Genomic DNA, 17,162 nt, shown 5'->3' with positions numbered 1-17,162 from the left:
CTGTGAACATGTCTTACTGCCTTCCCACATGGCAAAAAAGCTTTCCTGTTTTCACACATCCCCTTGCCAGCCCTAATCGGTGCCACTAGGTCACTGTCTCGTGTGCTGGCGGCTGCAATGGCGGCCCTTACAGGAAAGAACTTTGAATCTCTTCCCTTGTACTGAGCCATAAGAAGCAGTGAGTGCTCCCAGGCATAACTCCCCTGGCTCTGCTCCTAAAAATGCTCTCTCAAGTACACCGTTGCTTAGCAATATTTGCCTTCCCCCTGTACATTTGAAATTGGCAACATCTGTCCCTTTGGCAGTTTTGATTCGTGCAAAGCACCATGTGCGTAGTTCAAAAACATACAGCTTTATGAAATGGGCAATGCCTCCATACCTCCCGTCTCCCTGCAAAACCAGGATGTGAAGACCCAAAAATAGTTTAACCTTTGTTTTCAAGGCTGATGGAAAAATCTATGGGATTTAAAGTAGATGATAGCACACAAGCAAAATAGTTAAGCCACCAGTGGGAGTTCCTATTAAAACCTGCCTAATAGGCAGTGTCTGAAAAATCTCATCTAGTTAACAATTTCCTTTAGAATTAATTCTATCACAAGGCATTATGTGTAAATGCATATCATTAGTAAGATAAGATATAAAGGCAATTTATTCATGGAGTGGGGGGGGGGCAATTTTCATGCTTACATTATAGCCCAATCTCAGGAACAAAAATAACAATACACACGTGCACACATCCCCACCCCCACTCCACTGGCAATGGGAATTTTAAAACTCTAGAGGGAAAAATTCAGTAATTCCAGTATTATGTATTTCAAAACAAATGATCCTAAGTTTCCTAAGTTTCGTTATTTATCCCATAACAGTCACTTTAGTATTTTACTGAGGTTACTTGTTAATATTAAAGTAGCTCATAACATGTAATTTTACATATAAGAAAAAACTATATGAGAAATAAAACTTCTATGTAGAACTAGAATACTACCCATAAAACTTTACTTTTTATCTAGCACACTGATAGAGAAATAAAAATCCGAGTAATAAAAAGCATAAAAGTCTACTGAGCATTGAACCATGCTCTGTGCATCCAAACTGTGGCATGTAGACATTTTTGTTCCTTTAAACAAATCAGGCTATAATTTTCTTTTTAGCTTAAGCTAAACCAATTCTGACATATTAGAAACACATGTTTCCAAAGAAATTCTACAGGAACTGAGTTCCAACTACAAAGGGTAAGCTGACCTTTTTGCTCTCAAGTCTCTATCTGAAAGCTTACAGCAGCAGAAAAGACTGGGTAATACTTATTGCCACTAAAAACACATCCAGCAGGCCCCTGACTCTGTGCATTTAGCAATGCCCCTGAAATTCCAGAACATGCATGAATTTGTAATCTTGGTTAGCCACAAATGTGAATCCAACACCCTAGAATCCACTTCTCACTGTAGTCCATCACTCACCACTCAAGGGATACATACAGTAATTCTCGTGAAGTTACACTTTATTGCAGTTTATGGGAACAACTTCAGCAGACTTTGCAAACAGGAATTCTCAAAAATCTCAGGAGATGTTTGTAGAAGTTATCCATAGTGGTTCTGGCTGTGCAGGGTAGGTGCTTATGAGCAAGATTCTCCAACTATTAAGCTTGTTGCATGGAAACGGCTTAAACACAGTGCCTGTACACACAGAGTATGTTCTCAATAAAATGCAGATGTTATTTTTATTGTTTTACCATCTTACCATGGCACAAAAGCCTCAGTCTTTCTTTCTTTTCTTCCATCCTACTAAGGTTTCCCACTTCTGTCATTAACCAAACTTTTATTTCATGAATCTCTGTGAAAATGTCCTCTGAAAGGGGAAAGGGAATGATAAACAGTAACAAATTCTGTAACTTTTAATAATTGTATAGTACAATCTTTGATTACATCTCCTCCTCTGATATAATCGTAAACAGCTGCAGACTCTTCAGCTCTGAAGAAGCCGTCGTGTACTTGACCTTTGTGTCTGCAGTATGTTTCTAATAAATTCTGAATTAATTAATGTGGGAGAAACATCTTAATTTGTAAATGCTGGGATCCTGGCTCTAGGGGATGAGGATGAAAGGAGCCAGGGCAGAGGCTGAGGTGCTGTCCACCAGGAAAGTGCTGATAAACCTTCAGGGTTGGGTTGAGAATGCCTCCAAGATACCCCTCAAGTCAAGCCATTTATTAGACAAGAAGAAGGAACAAAAAACCTTTCCCTGTGGAGAGTTCCAGGGCTGAGAGGGGAAAGTAAAGACAGGCCATGTCAGTACTACCCTTCTCCTTGTCTCTCCCTACCTGTTTTTGTTTTTGTTTTTGTTTTGAGACAGGGTCTCACTGTGTTGCCCAGGCTGGAGTTCACTGGTGCAATCATATAGCTCACTGTAACCTCAAGCTCTTGAGCTGAAGTGATCCTCTCACCTCAGCCTCCTCAGCAGCTAAGACTACAAGCACACACACCATTATGCTCAGCTAATTGTTAAATATTTATAGGGATGGGGGGCGGTCTATGTTGCCTAGGCTAGTCTCAAAACTCCTGGCCTACAGTAATCCTCCCACCTCAGCCTGGCATGACCCCCTACACCCAGCCAAACTGTCCCATTACAGAGTCTGCAGGGCAATGACCGGTCACTAGAAAGCCAAACATCAGGGCTTACTTAACCAACTAATAAAGCATTATTAAAATTTTCTCCATTCTAAGGCTTTTGATGAGACCTGCTTATTAGGATGGATGTCACGATCTTGGCCCACAGTGCCAATCAATAAGTAAAAATGATTAGGTCTACAAGCAATGGAAACATGGGTATTATCATGCAGTGAAACCCTGCCCTGTTCTGGTACCATGAAGGAAATCTCCATGAACCCTGTGTCATCTTCACCTCTGAAAATGTTTGAACAGACTCCAGCCTCAATCTCCTTTGAACCTATATATCTAATAACCTGCTGGCATAGTTAAAAATAAATTTAAAAGTTATCATCATAAAAGCCTTCTAAAAACTATTCCTCACTCAAGAAAAATTTCTACAGGATGGTATTAGCAGGAGCAGCAGTAGTCAGTACCAAAAACATTTATTAAGGGGCAGAGAGGTTGCACAGAGAAAGGGGGGGGAAAAATAATGGGCAAAATTTAATTCTCAACTGTTTAAGTTCTTTAAGCACAAGGAAGCCATCCGCTGGTAAGGCAAGAAAATGTTTAAAATTACCTCCGGCCTAAAACTTATTTTTCTTCTGACACTGCCCCATCTTTAACCAGTCTTTCCTCCATGATATGAGGACAGTCCAAAACAGTTTTTCCCAAACTTCGGTCATTTCTATACTACTTTGATAGCGGCACTGCGTCATAATACTACTTGTACTATTTTTTTAGATCAGTTTATGATCAACTCACTTTTTTTTTTTTTAACCTCACCTCATCCTAAGCAATATTTGTGAAACCCTAGGTTTGTTTGATATGCTGGTTTATATTTCTTCCTAATTCACATGACATGATTTGGCTGTGTCCCCACCCAAATCTCATCTTGAATTCCCATGTGTTGTGGGAGGGAGCTGGTGGGAGGTAATTCGATCATGGGGGCAGGTCTTTCCCGTGCTGTTCTTGTAACAGTGAGTCTCATGAGATCTGATGGTTTTAAAAACAGGAGTTTCCCTGCACAACCTCTCTCTTTGCCGCCACTCACGTAGACGTGACCTGCTCCTCCTTGCCTTCCGCATGACTGTGAGGCTTCCATGTGGAACTGTGAGTTCTCCACTAAACCTCTTTCCTTTGTAAATTGCCCAGTCTCAGGTATGTCTTTATCAGCAGTGTGAAAGCAGACTAATGCACCACATTAAGACACATAAAATAAAGGTTGGTGTCCCCACACTATATTATTTTTTCTTGTGACAGAGTCTGTCAGCCAGGCTGGAGTGCAGTGGCACGAACACAGCTCACTGCAGCCTACACTTCCTGTGCTCAAGTGATCCTCCTACCTCAGCCTCCTGAGCAGCTGGGACCGCAGGTGCATGCCACAACACCCGGCTTTTTTTTTTTTTTCTTTTGAGACGGAATTTCACTCTTGTTGCCCAGGCTGGAGTGCAATGACGCGATCTCGACTTTACTGCAACCTCCGCTTCCTGGGTTCAAGCAATTCTCCTTCCTCAGCCTCCTGAGGATTACAGGCACCCACCACCATGCCTGGCTAATTTTTGCATTTTTAGTAGAGACAGGGTTTCACCCTGTTGCCCAGGCTGGTCTCGAATTCCTGACCTCAGATGATCCACCCACCTCAGCCTCCCAAAGTGCTGAGATTATAGACATGAGCCACCGTGCCCAGCCGCTAATTTTTAAAATGTTTTGTAGAGACAGTCTCACCATGTTGTCCAGGTTGGTCTCAAACTCCTGGGCTCGAGGAATCCTCCTGCCTCGGCTTCCCAAAGTGTTGGGATTACAGGCGTGAGCCACTGTGCCTGGCCTCCATACTATTTTAAAGAAGTTTATATACTCATCAATACTATGTGAACCAAAAACTGAATGAATATCTTGGGACATTCCAGCTTCCTACCCTGTAAAACCATCTTACTCTATCAGTCAATACAAATGTTGCCTATCTTCTATATTGGATTCAGGAACCTTCAGAGATTCCATGAAAATATGTTTAATCTTACACCTTTCCTTACTAAATTTGTGACCCAGGTCACAGAATTAACACTTTATACATCAGTGTTCAGTTCAGTACTATAATTTTTTCTATTTGTCACAATGCTCAAATGTGACGGGGCTCAAAAAGCCCTTTACACACTAGCCCTTGCCCCATATACTTCTCACAACTAATGCAATTCTGGAATCCTGAAACTACAGCAAGTATTCAGTACTTTATTAGGGCATAAAATATCTATTCAAGTCTCTTATTGAAAAAGTGTAACATTTAAAAACTTGACTAAAATTAAATCCATGACACAGAGTTTCATTACTTCATCACAACAACTGTGAAACACCAGCAAACCAACCTAAAACACAAAGATATTTCTTGGGATTCTGCTGACTTCTAGGCACAGCTGTAACATCTATACAGACTACTTGAAGATGGATAATATACAATTTTCCTACAGCATAAATTTTCTTTTACTAACACAATATGTCAAGGAAAGGTGGTATATCTCACAATATACTAAATGTCAGGCAAACATATCCCATTTAATTCTCACAACAGCCCTCTAGCTCAGGAAATACTGTCCCATTTAAATGTGAAGTAGAATGAACCCATGCATTCTAACTCCATAGCTCTGTCCATTAGAAACATTATTTCCCACTCATATTTTCTTAAAGCCATAATATTCAAAACTATTAAAACTTCCACAATTTCAGATTCTAAGCCAAGGTAAAGAGGTGGATCTGGCCGGGCGCGGTGGCTCACGCCTGCAATCCCAGCACTTTGGGAGGCCGAGGTGGGCGGATCACCTGAGGCTGGGAGTTCGAGAACAGCCTCACCCACACGGAGAAACCCCATCCTGCTAAAAATACAAAATTAGCCAGGATTGGTGGTGCATGCTTATTATCCCAGCTACTTGGGAAGGCTGAGGCAGGAGAATCGCTTGAACCTGGGAGGTGGAGGTTGCAGTGAGCCAAGATCATGCCATTGCACTCCAGCCTGGGCAACAAGAGCAAAACTCTGTCTCAAAAAAAAAAAAAAAAAAAAAAAAAAAAGAGGTGAATCTACTATGCTTATACATTTAGACAACGTTAAAATAACTGCTATAATTATGATGTAGATACAGCAGCTATTACATACTTACTATATGCCAGACATCGATATAAAGGTTTAACATACATTTTCTTACTTAAACCTATCTCCTTACAAAGAACTGTCTACCATTGCTATTTTACAGAAAAGAAATTGAGACTTGAACAGGTTAAGTAGTTTTCTTGTCTTATAACGGCCTCGAGAAGGTAAAAACAAGATTCAAACCCAAGTCTTCCTTAATCCCAAATCCATGCTTTTAACCACTACCTATATATAATGCCTAAAAGCCTCATCTAATTATTTCCAAAAACAAAACCTTAAAATATATCTTCCTTCCTTCCAACAACATCCAGTCTTTACCATCCAATGAATAACATGCTGTATTATATACTTATTCACCACTAGTTATAAATAAGTACCCACCTGTACCCTACAGAACACATGAGTTTTCTATCTAACTAAGTGATTAATATTGCTAAAATCAAAAGAAAGAAACAAACTTTTGTATGCTGATGAATGTTTAAAACAGGCTTCCTATTACTGGCTATAAAAATAAGTAATTTAAAATAAAAGGTATTAAAGGATATGCTATTGGACTTGGTATTGTAAACAGCACCACCATTTAAGTGCTATAATTCAAACTCTTTTGGAAAAAAAACATATATTTTACAGCTGAAAAAAGCATCGATAACTCCTGCTGTGGTCTGAATGTGTCTCTCCAAAGTTCCTATGTTGGACTTAAATCCCAAGGTGATAATATTAAGAGGCAGGGCTACCGGGAGGTGCTTAGGTCATGAGGGCTCGCTGCCCTCATGGATGGGATCAGTGCCTGTATAAAGGGGTTTGAGGGAGCAAGTCTCTTCCATCTCTTCTGCCACATGAGGACGTAGCAAGATACACCATCTTGGAGGCAGAAAGCAAGTCCTTATCAGACACTCAATCTGTTAGCACCTTGATCTTGGACGTCCCAATCTCTAAAACTGCGAGAAATAAATGTCTATTGTTTATAAATTACCCAGTCTAAGGTCTTTTGTTATGGCAGCATCACTAGACTAAGATAATTATCCATTTTCTCATCACTCATACAGGAAAACTAAAACAAGGAGGATAAGAATCCATGTTCCACAGTTTTGGGAACAGCCGTCTAAAAAGAAAAAAGTTAATTAGACTAACCTTGTTAGTATTTTGTTTTCCGTATGAATGAATGAATGAATGCCTGAATCATACATTTAAAGACTTGTAGGAAAACATCTCTATGTTTGGATAGAGGGTCAAAAAAAGCAAAGTTTATTCTACTTTACCTAATTCCTTTCAAAAGTTTGAGAAATCAATCACATTTTTTTAAGGACATTTCATGATGACATTACCTTACTGAAAAGATAGGTCTTTTGCATGTCTGGATTCTCATGTCTTGGGTCTGCTCAAAGTGAGGAATAATCATACAGATAAAGAAATGCTTGAATTGACGGAGAGAACATTAACAGTTACAGGGATCAAGCAGGTGATATCAAGGGCCTAGTTAGGTCTGGGACAAGACAGCACATGCACCCTGCCTAACAGGATTGCGCTGTAAGACTGTATGTTGCCAATTCTTCCCATTTTTAACACAAAAAATAAAATCCAGATTTCAATGTGAAGGTACTAATTTTTAGATGTTGGCAACTAAATTAATATAACAGTCTCTGACGCTCTGTGGGCAGCCACGCCCCAGTGTTGGTTTTAATGCTTCCTTCTCTCACAAGTGGGAGAACAAGGGAGTAAGAGATTGAGAGATGCATTCATTTTTAAGAGAAGAATCTCCTGTTGTGCTAAACATGGCCCAGTTTAAGGTACTATGGATATCTTCAGTTTCCATACAGAGATTCTGAATAGGTCCTCAGCCTGGAGGGGCCATGGAATGAGGCAGCCTCTTCCCTTTACTGCTGTGGTCTCCTCTCTGCTGCACAAGCTCCTGCCAAAGCCATGGGCATACTTTAGCGGATGGGCATACTCAGCCTGACAGATCACTAGAAACACGAACCAAGTAAGCAAAACAAACCACAGTGTAGTTATTTTACATGACTTGAATGAAATAAATCTGAACTACAGGTGAGTCATAACATAATAAAAGACTCAATTAGGTTCAGAACAACAGACCAGTGTTTTCCCTTGTCTTAGCAACTAGTTCACTAGAATCCTGAGCGAATATAAGGGAGATAAAAGACCTCGGTACCGGTTTTATCCTTTAGTGCAAGACCATTAATCTACTAGAAAATTAAGCCCAGGTTGCCAGTCAGGCAATTTCAGGGTCAATAATTCCGTTTTTTTGTTGTTGTTTTTTTGTGTTTTTTTTTTTTTTTTTTTTTTTTTTTTTTTTGAGACAGAGTCTCACTCTCGCCAGGCTGGAGTGCAGTGGCGTGATCTCGGCTCACTGCAACCTCCGCCTCCCAGGTTCAAGCAATTCTCCTGTCTCAGCCTCCCCAGAAGCCGGGAGTACAGGCGCCTGCCACCATACCTGGCTAATTTTTGTATTTTTAGTAGAGATGGGGTTTCACCTTGTTGGTTAGGCTGGTCTCGAACTCCTGACCTCAGGTGATCCACCCGCCTCAGCCTCCCAAAATGCTGGGATTACAGGCGTCAGCCACCGTGCCTGGCCCAATAATTCTTAAGTTACTAGGATACCAGTTAATGATACCGTTGTGGTCTAGAAGAGTGTATGCCCTACCCATTTGGATGACTCATTCCCAAAAAAGTGATTCCTTCAATAGCAAAATATTTAAAATTGCAAATCCTTTTCTAGATTAACAGCAGTTTTATTATATGCATTACTTTTAAGAAGTATATATACACACACACATGCTAAAGGAAATCCAGTGTCTTATTTAATACAAAAGAAAGCACCTATATATGAGACAGATGCATAAAACTTCCAACTTTTATAGCACATAAAACAATCTGATTAATCTCCAGGCTCAATTCTGAAAAGTACAGTAATTATGAGGCTGGAACTCAACTAAAAATTCCTAATGAATGGATTAGGCTGTTTATTTTTAATGTAGGAATGCCAAAAATTACTTAATACTTAGGTAGAAAATGGTGAAATGATTTCTCAAAAACATTATTGAACACTGCACCCATTTCCCAGTCAAGTGTCCTGAATAGGAAATTCAGTCCAGTACTTCACCCCTCTGTTAAGCCAAGCATTTAAGAGATTATCTTTCAGACTCCAGACCAGAGTGAGCTGGGTAAGAAATCCTCAAGCTGAGCACAGCGTAGCAAAGTTCCCATTTGGCTCCAGTTCTCACCTGTGCTAAACACAAAGGACAAACAAGCATATGAGACACAATTGACTTCTGCCCTCAAAATGTTTACCACCTGGAGAAAAAGCAGCAGGATGATACCAAGGGAGAAGTGCTGAAACTCGGGCCTGGGCAGCGGGGTGCACAGCAGAAAGTCATCTATAAGGGTCTGGGGGCTGCAGTGGAACAAGGCAGTACCAGCAGCAGGGCCAGAACTCAAGGCTGCAGAGACAGGTAAGAGGCAAGAAGACAAATGGACACATCTGGCTTTCTGTCCTGAAGGTGATGGAGAGGTACTGAAGGATCTTGAAAAAGTACGACTTGATCTGATTTTCACTTAATCAAATCACTCATGTGAAATAATGTGGCATACTGAGAAGCAGGAAAACAGCAAGATGAGAGGTTAGAAAGAAGTTGTAACAGTTCAAGAAAGACGGTAAAAATCCATACTAAATGAGGGACAGAGAAAAGGAGAAGCTATGAATGTTTATAAAGTAATCTCCATAGGATCAAGCTGCTTTCAAAACAATGGAGTATATGACAGAAAGGAATTGAGAACTGATGACCAGGAGGAAGGAGAACATTCTGTGTGTGAAGTGATACAGGGAGAGGGGGGCACAAAAAAATCCATTTTAGACAGGTTCAATTAAGATGCCTGTGCAACACCTACTAGAAAAGTCCAGTGGGCAGGTGGATAACAGAACCTAGATCTCAAAATACGTTTTAAGAGTTTTAGGCTAGAAAATCACTCTGGTGTTCGTGAGCAACGGCAGTTGAATCTTAAGTGCAAATGAGGTCACCAGGGAAAGGCTGCAGAATGAGAAAAGATGGTTGAGGACAGAGCCCTGGAGGAGGAGTGGGAACAGCAGCCTCCAAAGGAGATTAAGGCACGTACAAAAAGGTAGAAGAAAACCCAGACAACAGGGGAGGAGAGTGTTTAAGGTGATGGTGGTCAAGTGTCAAATGCTACAGAGATGTCAAGTAGGATAAGGCCTTAAAGAGCATTCCTCGAATTCATCCAATACAGTCCACTAGTGGCTCCTGCCGGCAGAGGCAGTGGCGTGAAGGCACAGAGCAGGCTGCAATGGGTTGCAAGTAGAGGGGAGGGGAGGAGAGGAAGCAGGAACAGTGTTTACCTACTTCTGTCTCCAGAGCTTTTGCTGTGGAGGGAACAAGAAAGTAGTAATTAGAGAAGACACAAGAGTGAAGAAGGGTTTGTTTTGCTCTTTCAGTTGGGAAAGGCCTAAATGTAACTATAGACTATCATGAAAGAGCTGAGTAATAAGGGAAAGGTTTAAGCTAACCAAAGGTTGAGAGTGGGGGAGTTGAGAACACCTCCTTCTGTGAGATTAAACAGAAAGAGACAAATGGTGGCTGCTATGATTTGGGGGCGGGGGTGGCACTGTAGGTAGAAAGAACTGAGAGAATTCATACCTGGTGCTTCCTTCTCTGAAAGGTAGGAAGCAAAGTTAAAGGTCTCAGTGCAAGCCACATGGCCACGAAGACCAAAACTGAGTTTTACTCATCCTGTCATTTGAATCACCCGTGCCACCCTATATTTGCATGACTCATCAGATGCCAACATGAAAGCAAGGCCATGTGGAAAAACAGCACACTTTAAATAAAAGTGTACATAAGCCATCATTACTCCACAGAAACCATGTTTTGTGGCAGATGGAGCGCTGGAACTAGGAGCCAGGGTCCAGGTTTCATGTCTCCATCTCTGCCATTTACTAGCTTAAATTAAATTTAGAGACTCAGTTCCACGGCATGTAAAATGGTGACTCCTGCCAACTGCCATACTTAACTCACAAGGTTACTGTGATAATCAAGAGAGAAACAAATAAGTGCTTTGGAAATTAAAGGGGAAAGGGCACTACAAGATTTTAGAGTGCGTACATTTTTATAAAGTGAACTGTTTACACCAGAGATTGCCAAGCCACGGGAATGCTGCTGTTCAGGAGTGAGCTCACAGAGCAACTAAGCCATCAGGCAGGGGTGGGGATGGTGGGCGGGGGGATGTTGAAGACAGCGGTGGGGGTTTAACACCATGGCAAACCCATTCTTAAAAGCTTGATAACCCCTAAGGAAATACTTTCTTTCACTAGGCTTTTCATTTGTTTACTTATTTTTAATACTTTAAAATCAAGTCTTAGGGGCTTTATTCACTTAGAACTCTTAACTGGGAATTAATGGTCCACTTGATCTAATTCCAACTTCATTTCTAAAGTACATTTCAATAAACAATACGATCAGTCTTCCTAACTCCCCAACATCACTAATTCCCCATTTTGATAACCCTCTGTCCAAATTCTTTTTCTTAAGGCCCAGTTCAAATTTCACTTCTACCACTACCAAGAGTTCCATAGTAGGAGTATGGAACTCATACTATGCACAAGGCACTGTCTTAAGTAATTCAAAGATTACCTCAGTATATTAGACCCACTTTACTTACAGACGAATAAACTGGTAACACAGGAAGGTTAGGTTCCTTGCCCAAAGTCTTACAGAATTATAAGCCCAAGCTGTACCACCTGCCATGAAGCCAAAATAATTCTCCGCCTTTTATTAATGATTCTTGTTTTTATCTAAATTACTCAATAAATAACTAAAGAATTTCAAAAGCTGGCCCTATCTTGCCACCAGGCCCATCTCCCCACTGCTCTCCTCTGCCCATGCCCAACCTCCTGGAGCCACAGGCCCTGCCACTCCCACTAGATTTCCCTCCGTGTCTTGCTTCTATGTCTTTTCTCTTCCTAAGCCTTTAGCCTGGATGTACCTTTCACCAGAGTGCAAAGTGCTTCAAAAGTCAACTCTTAAAAAAAAAATGTACAGCTTCTAATTTTGAAAGGCAATATAATGTAGGTGTTGTGGTTAAGACTGTGGACTCTGGAACCAGACTACTTGAGTCTGGATTTCAGATCCACTGGCAAAAGCCTCCAGAAGCTTGGACAACCAATCTCTCTGTACCTCTAAATCTCTCAGTAAAACAGGATGGTAACAGTACCCTACCACATGGGATCATCGTGAATATGAAATGAGTTAGCACCTATAAAGCATTTAGAATAGTTTTCATCATAAAGTGAACAAGGGGACTATGCCAGCAATGTATTATGAAGAGTTCCGTATTACCTTGCTCATACTGATTACACTTTGGATTTTTATGCTATGTCATAATAAATTTACTGTGCCTGTGTCTTTCTTTCCTATTAGCTCCCTTTATATCTAATGGGTGTTCAAATATTTGTTGACAGAATGTAAAAATATGAATCCTTCTATGACAAAGAAACAAAGTTATTTTTAAAAAACATTTTGTAAGAATGTTCAGATTATTTAATAGGAAAAAATTTTTTCACAAGTTCCCATGTTCTCGAGCATGAAAAAATGTTGGAAGTAACATACATTCTAATTATACCATAGAATTCTATTTTAAATTTTTCTAAAATGCAACAGCAAATACTTGCTTCGGGGTATTTTAAAAATTGAGCTCTAAGGAAAAAGGGAATCTATAATATAGTGTGGGGTTGTTAAGAATACCTCGAAGAAATATACATAACATAGAATGCCTTCCTTTCTTAATTCATGCACTTCAATTCAAAGCTCCACATTCCTGTCCAATATGAGTTTTCAGAGTTCTATTATTTGTAAATTGGAATAAAAAACCTAAGGTGATTTATCTAAAGGACAGAGCTAGAAATAGGACCTCTAATTACTTAAATACTGAGGCCTCTAGATTAAAACATTAAACCTCAAAACCCTTCAGCCAAAGGGATTAAGAAGATTAGAATGGGCTTGACAAATTACCACGGGGTTAGGAAAAAAAAAATGCAGAGAGAAAGTAGGCCAAATTTAAATAGGGAATGAAATGAAGTTCAAGAGAAAACTAATAGTTTGTGTGGACCCTAGACCTCTGTGGGAAAAACCATCAATAGAGTTATTTCAACAATTAAAGAAAGGAACAAAATCAATGTAAAAATAGCTGCTTATAGAGTTCTTGGGAAATGTGAACATGCAAAGTTAACCTTGGAAAATAATGTCAAATTGCTGTTGGCAACTGGAGAGAAGAAATACAAGACCAAAAAATAAATTATTATGTTAACATGAACCAGGATCCTCTCTTAGGAGGAACTGTTTAAATATCTCATGAGTGTTGGTCACCCCCACCAAAACAGCCAAAATCAAACCACTAACTCAGTCATCAACAAGATTCCCCTTGGAATATCTGGGTTTCTGTCCCTGAAGATTATCAGTTGGCTCAAAATAAAACACAGTTAATCTAGAGAAGAGCTAAAATGACCCGGGTGGCTATGTGAGAGCCTGGGAGAGCACATGCAGTCTGGGAAGATTCAAAAGAGTTGAATGTCTATATCTTGGCAAAGGCACAACTGGAGAGACTCAGGGGGATCCAATAACCATCCACAAACATCTCAAGTGTGAAAACAAGGAGGAACAGGAATTTCTCATCCTGGTACCAAATGTACTTCTGGCATTTCCGAGAAGGAATAGAAAGTGAAATGCACAAAGTAAAAACAACTCCAATTAATACCACCCAAAAAGTTCTTCCAGTTTCAATTTTATGCTTTCCTCTTGGGCTACTATAAGCAATTCTATTCTTTGCATTAATTTTTAGCAATTTAAGAGCTTTTCAAAAATATTGTGTCTATATTACTTAAAAAGTTTCCTTCAGAGTTTAAAGTGTTTCTTCATAAGATTGCCAGGTTCAGCCTGGGCAACACCCCAAGACCTTGTCTCTACAAAAAATAAAAATAAATCAGCCAAGCATGCTGCCATGTGCCTGCAGTCCTAGCTACTCAGGATGGAAAAGTGGGCACTGCTTGGACCCAGGAGTTCAAGGCTGAAGTGAGCTGTGATCGTGCTACTGCATTCCAGCCCGGGTGAGAGAGAGAAACTCTAAAGATTGCCAGGTTCCAGAAATTGCCTCTACTCAGCCAATAATGATTTTTTTCCTAAATTCTCCAGTTTGTAAATACTGGCTAAAAGTGTGGGGGGCGGTAGGGAGAAAGAAAGAAAACAAGCCCTACAGGCCAAACAAAATAATTTGTCTGCAGGCCCAACCTAGCCCTCAGGCTGCTGGTTTACAGCTTCTGCTCTAAAAAACCTGCCTGTCACTATTTTAAAACTTCTATATTTAGATCTTTTCAGGTTTAAAATTTGGCCTCTGAAGTGCAGGTGACTTATTCTTCATGCTTTCTTACAAGCGGTTTGGAAGTCGTCTGCTCCAGGCACCACCCATGGCAGCAGGGAATTCTGCACACAGATAACTTTACTCTGCTATCAATTTCCTAACACATTTAGGTCATGTAGGTCTGCCCAGGCTCACTGAGGTCGAGCTTACGGAATCTAGAGTTACCATAATAAAACATTTTTAGAAAACGGAACCTGAAAAGCTAGATAAGATTGTGTCATAATCTTCTACCTTATGTTGGGGGCAGAACAATGAAAAACATGAGCTACGGAGGAAAAGAGGAGGAGAGTCTTGGGGATCCCACTCCTGTGCTTCTCCCAAGGCTACTCTGACGTCCTACTCAGGAATGAAAGCCCCATCCATCAGTTCAGTGTGATCCTTGTGCCCGAGACCCACATGTCGGGGGGCTTCTTGAGCCACTGGGAGGGGCCCCTGTAGCTCCCTGTGGCCCATAAGCTTTTCCGGAACAGTTGTCATTTCCAGGCTACAGAACAAACTCAGCCCCCCTAGGGGAGGGCCTGGGAATTTTTATTTTTAACAATTTGTATTTTTATCAGGCTTCCCAGGTGATTCTGATGTGCTGCCAAGTTTCAGAATAAATGAAAAATTCCCTTTGATCTATGGTACTGGGCTTATATCCTGGGAAGAATTCTCTAATGGTCTCTGCACATGGTGTGGCATAAGCCAGTGGCACATGCTATTCCTTCTTCCTGGAATACTGACACTGCTTAAGCCCCAACACCCCTCACTTGGGCCACTCCTACTCACCTTCAGCTCTCATTCAAATAGTACTTCCTCAGAGAAGCCTTCCTCAGCTCCTTAGTTCTAAGTCACAATCCCCTCTTATAGCTCTTAGAATAGCTTGTAGTTTCCCTTATAGCACTTGTCAAAGCTTCTTATACATGGATCTGAGTGATTACTTGACTAATGTCAGTTTCTAATAGGACAGTTAAGATCCAAGAGGACTGGAACCATCTGGTTTTGCCCACCATTTTAACCTCTCATCCCCAGCACCAGGCCTGGCACACAACAGGGGTTCAAGATATTTTGGTTAAAATTGCTGAATACATGATGTGTTTGTGAGAGTAAGCTGCTTAAATGTGTTTTGAGTGGTGCAGGAGCAGGATGTGCACCATCGGCATATCCAGAAGTAAACCGCCTGAAGGTTTAGATCATCTCATAATAGGGAAGTCCCTCTTCTTGAGGTTTAAATTAAATATGGAAGTAGGAAAGAATGTTTGTATATGTGAATGCAAAGTGAATCACTATCACACAGTTTTCCACTGTGGGTTAATTCATGCAGTTGTTAGGCTGGTAGTTTATTGAAAATAGGAGGCTCAATTTAAGAGCTGCAATGAATCAAAGTGGTCCAACAATGAATGTACACTTGGGTCTTGGAAATTAAATGCAAGCATCTGGCAACAAAACGTTCCTAACATGATGTGACAAGAGGCCACAAGGAAAAGAGCAATTGCTTTGCAGAAATCAGTCACAATCAGGACTCAAAGCCAGACTGATCTGGAGGAGGAATTAAGACCATATAAGGATTCTTAGGTACACATGCTCGGTCCCAAGGTTTTAAATACCTACTAAATAAACACAAATCCCAAATTATTTTCAGTTCTGACATTTTCCCAGAGTTAGACTCCTGTTTATGACTGCCACTTGTCATCTCTACCTGGATACATTACAGCATCTCAAACCGAACACATGATCTTAATACATGACCCAACTAGAGTTCTTAGTTTTCCAGGTCATTTCCCTCTCGGTAGCTAGTATCATCCCACCATCCTTGCCTTTCAAATAAAAAGTCTACCAGCCTTGTTTGATGCCTCGCCTCCCCTCACCTCAGGCCACTCCTATCTCCTGTCAATCACAGAGCCCTATCAGTTCCCTGCCAAACAGATCCAGAACTTGTCCACTTCATACCACGTACATGGCTACTATCCACATACATGGCTACTACCCCAAGCCACTATCATTTCCTATCTCCCAACTGGTCTCCCTGCTTCCACCTTTGCCCCTCTCATCCATTTCCCACCCAGAAGCCAGAGTTACAGTTTTTTAAAAAGAAAAAAAAAAAGTAGATATGTCCCTCCCCTGCTCAAAATTATCCAATGGTTTCAATCACAAATAATACCCAAATGCCTTTCACGGCCAACAAAGCCTCCATGGTCTTACTCCTGCCTATGTCGCCAGTTCCATCTCACATCCTCCCCTCACTCTCAGTGTTCTAGCCATACTCCCCTCATTTCTGTTTATTTTGGGTGGTGGTGTGGGGGGAGGAGGGAGCGGTTGAGACAGGGTCTCACTGTCGCTCAGGCTGGAGTTCAGTGGCAGTATCTCAACTCCCTACAACCTCAGCCTCTCAGGCTCAAGTGATCCTCCTATCTCAGCCTCCTGAGTAGCTGGAACTACTTTTAATTTTTTCCCAATAGCTGGGAAAACTTTTTAATTTTTTGATAAAACATCTCACTATGTTGCCCAGGCTGGTCTTGAACTCCTGGGCTCCCCAGGAGTGATCCTCCCACCTCGGCCTCCCAATGTGCTGGGATTAACAAGGCCATGCCTTTTCCTAAATTCAGGCCTTTACACTTGTTTCCTCTGCCTGAAATGAAATACGTCTCTGAGCTCTGCATGACTGACGCATGTTCATCCTCCATGTGAGGTGTCTCTGTGAAAGGTGCCTCCTCAGAGGGTCCTGTGCTGACCACCATTTTTAAGTCAGCCTCCTCTGATTCATCTCATCCTCATCACCCTCTTTACTTCTTGCGGCACTCTTATCAACGCCTATGATTTCATTATAACTATATTATCAATGCCCCCCATTAGAATAGATGGTCTATGAGACCAGGGATCTGTCTACCTTGATCTCAGCTGTATCATCAAGAACCTACTACAGTGCATGGAACACAGTGGAGGGTTAATATCAGTTTGTTGG

The 17,162-nt window shown here is 41.0% G+C and overlaps 1 protein-coding gene across 13 annotated transcripts in view, besides 2 other annotated features; it reads right to left on the bottom strand.

Moving 5' to 3' along the window:
• AFF1 (ALF transcription elongation factor 1) overlaps positions 1 to 17,162 on the bottom strand; it is a 206,029-nt gene that overhangs the window by 72,111 nt on the left and 116,756 nt on the right. The gene's annotated exons all lie outside the window — the stretch shown is intronic.
• Positions 20 to 209: an enhancer, noted in NCBI's record as "active region_21702". NCBI's record gives its function as "activates an Ori minimal core promoter by ATAC-STARR-seq in GM12878 lymphoblastoid cells {active_cell/tissue: GM12878}" and the evidence as "EXISTENCE:reporter gene assay evidence [ECO:0000049][PMID:35858748]".
• Positions 10,107 to 10,196: an enhancer, noted in NCBI's record as "active region_21701". NCBI's record gives its function as "activates an Ori minimal core promoter by ATAC-STARR-seq in GM12878 lymphoblastoid cells {active_cell/tissue: GM12878}" and the evidence as "EXISTENCE:reporter gene assay evidence [ECO:0000049][PMID:35858748]".

Source organism: Homo sapiens, chromosome 4, assembly GCF_000001405.40.
Source record: "Homo sapiens chromosome 4, GRCh38.p14 Primary Assembly".
Classification (NCBI taxonomy): domain Eukaryota; kingdom Metazoa; phylum Chordata; class Mammalia; order Primates; family Hominidae; genus Homo; species Homo sapiens.
This window is presented reverse-complemented; position numbering and strand designations above follow the sequence as displayed.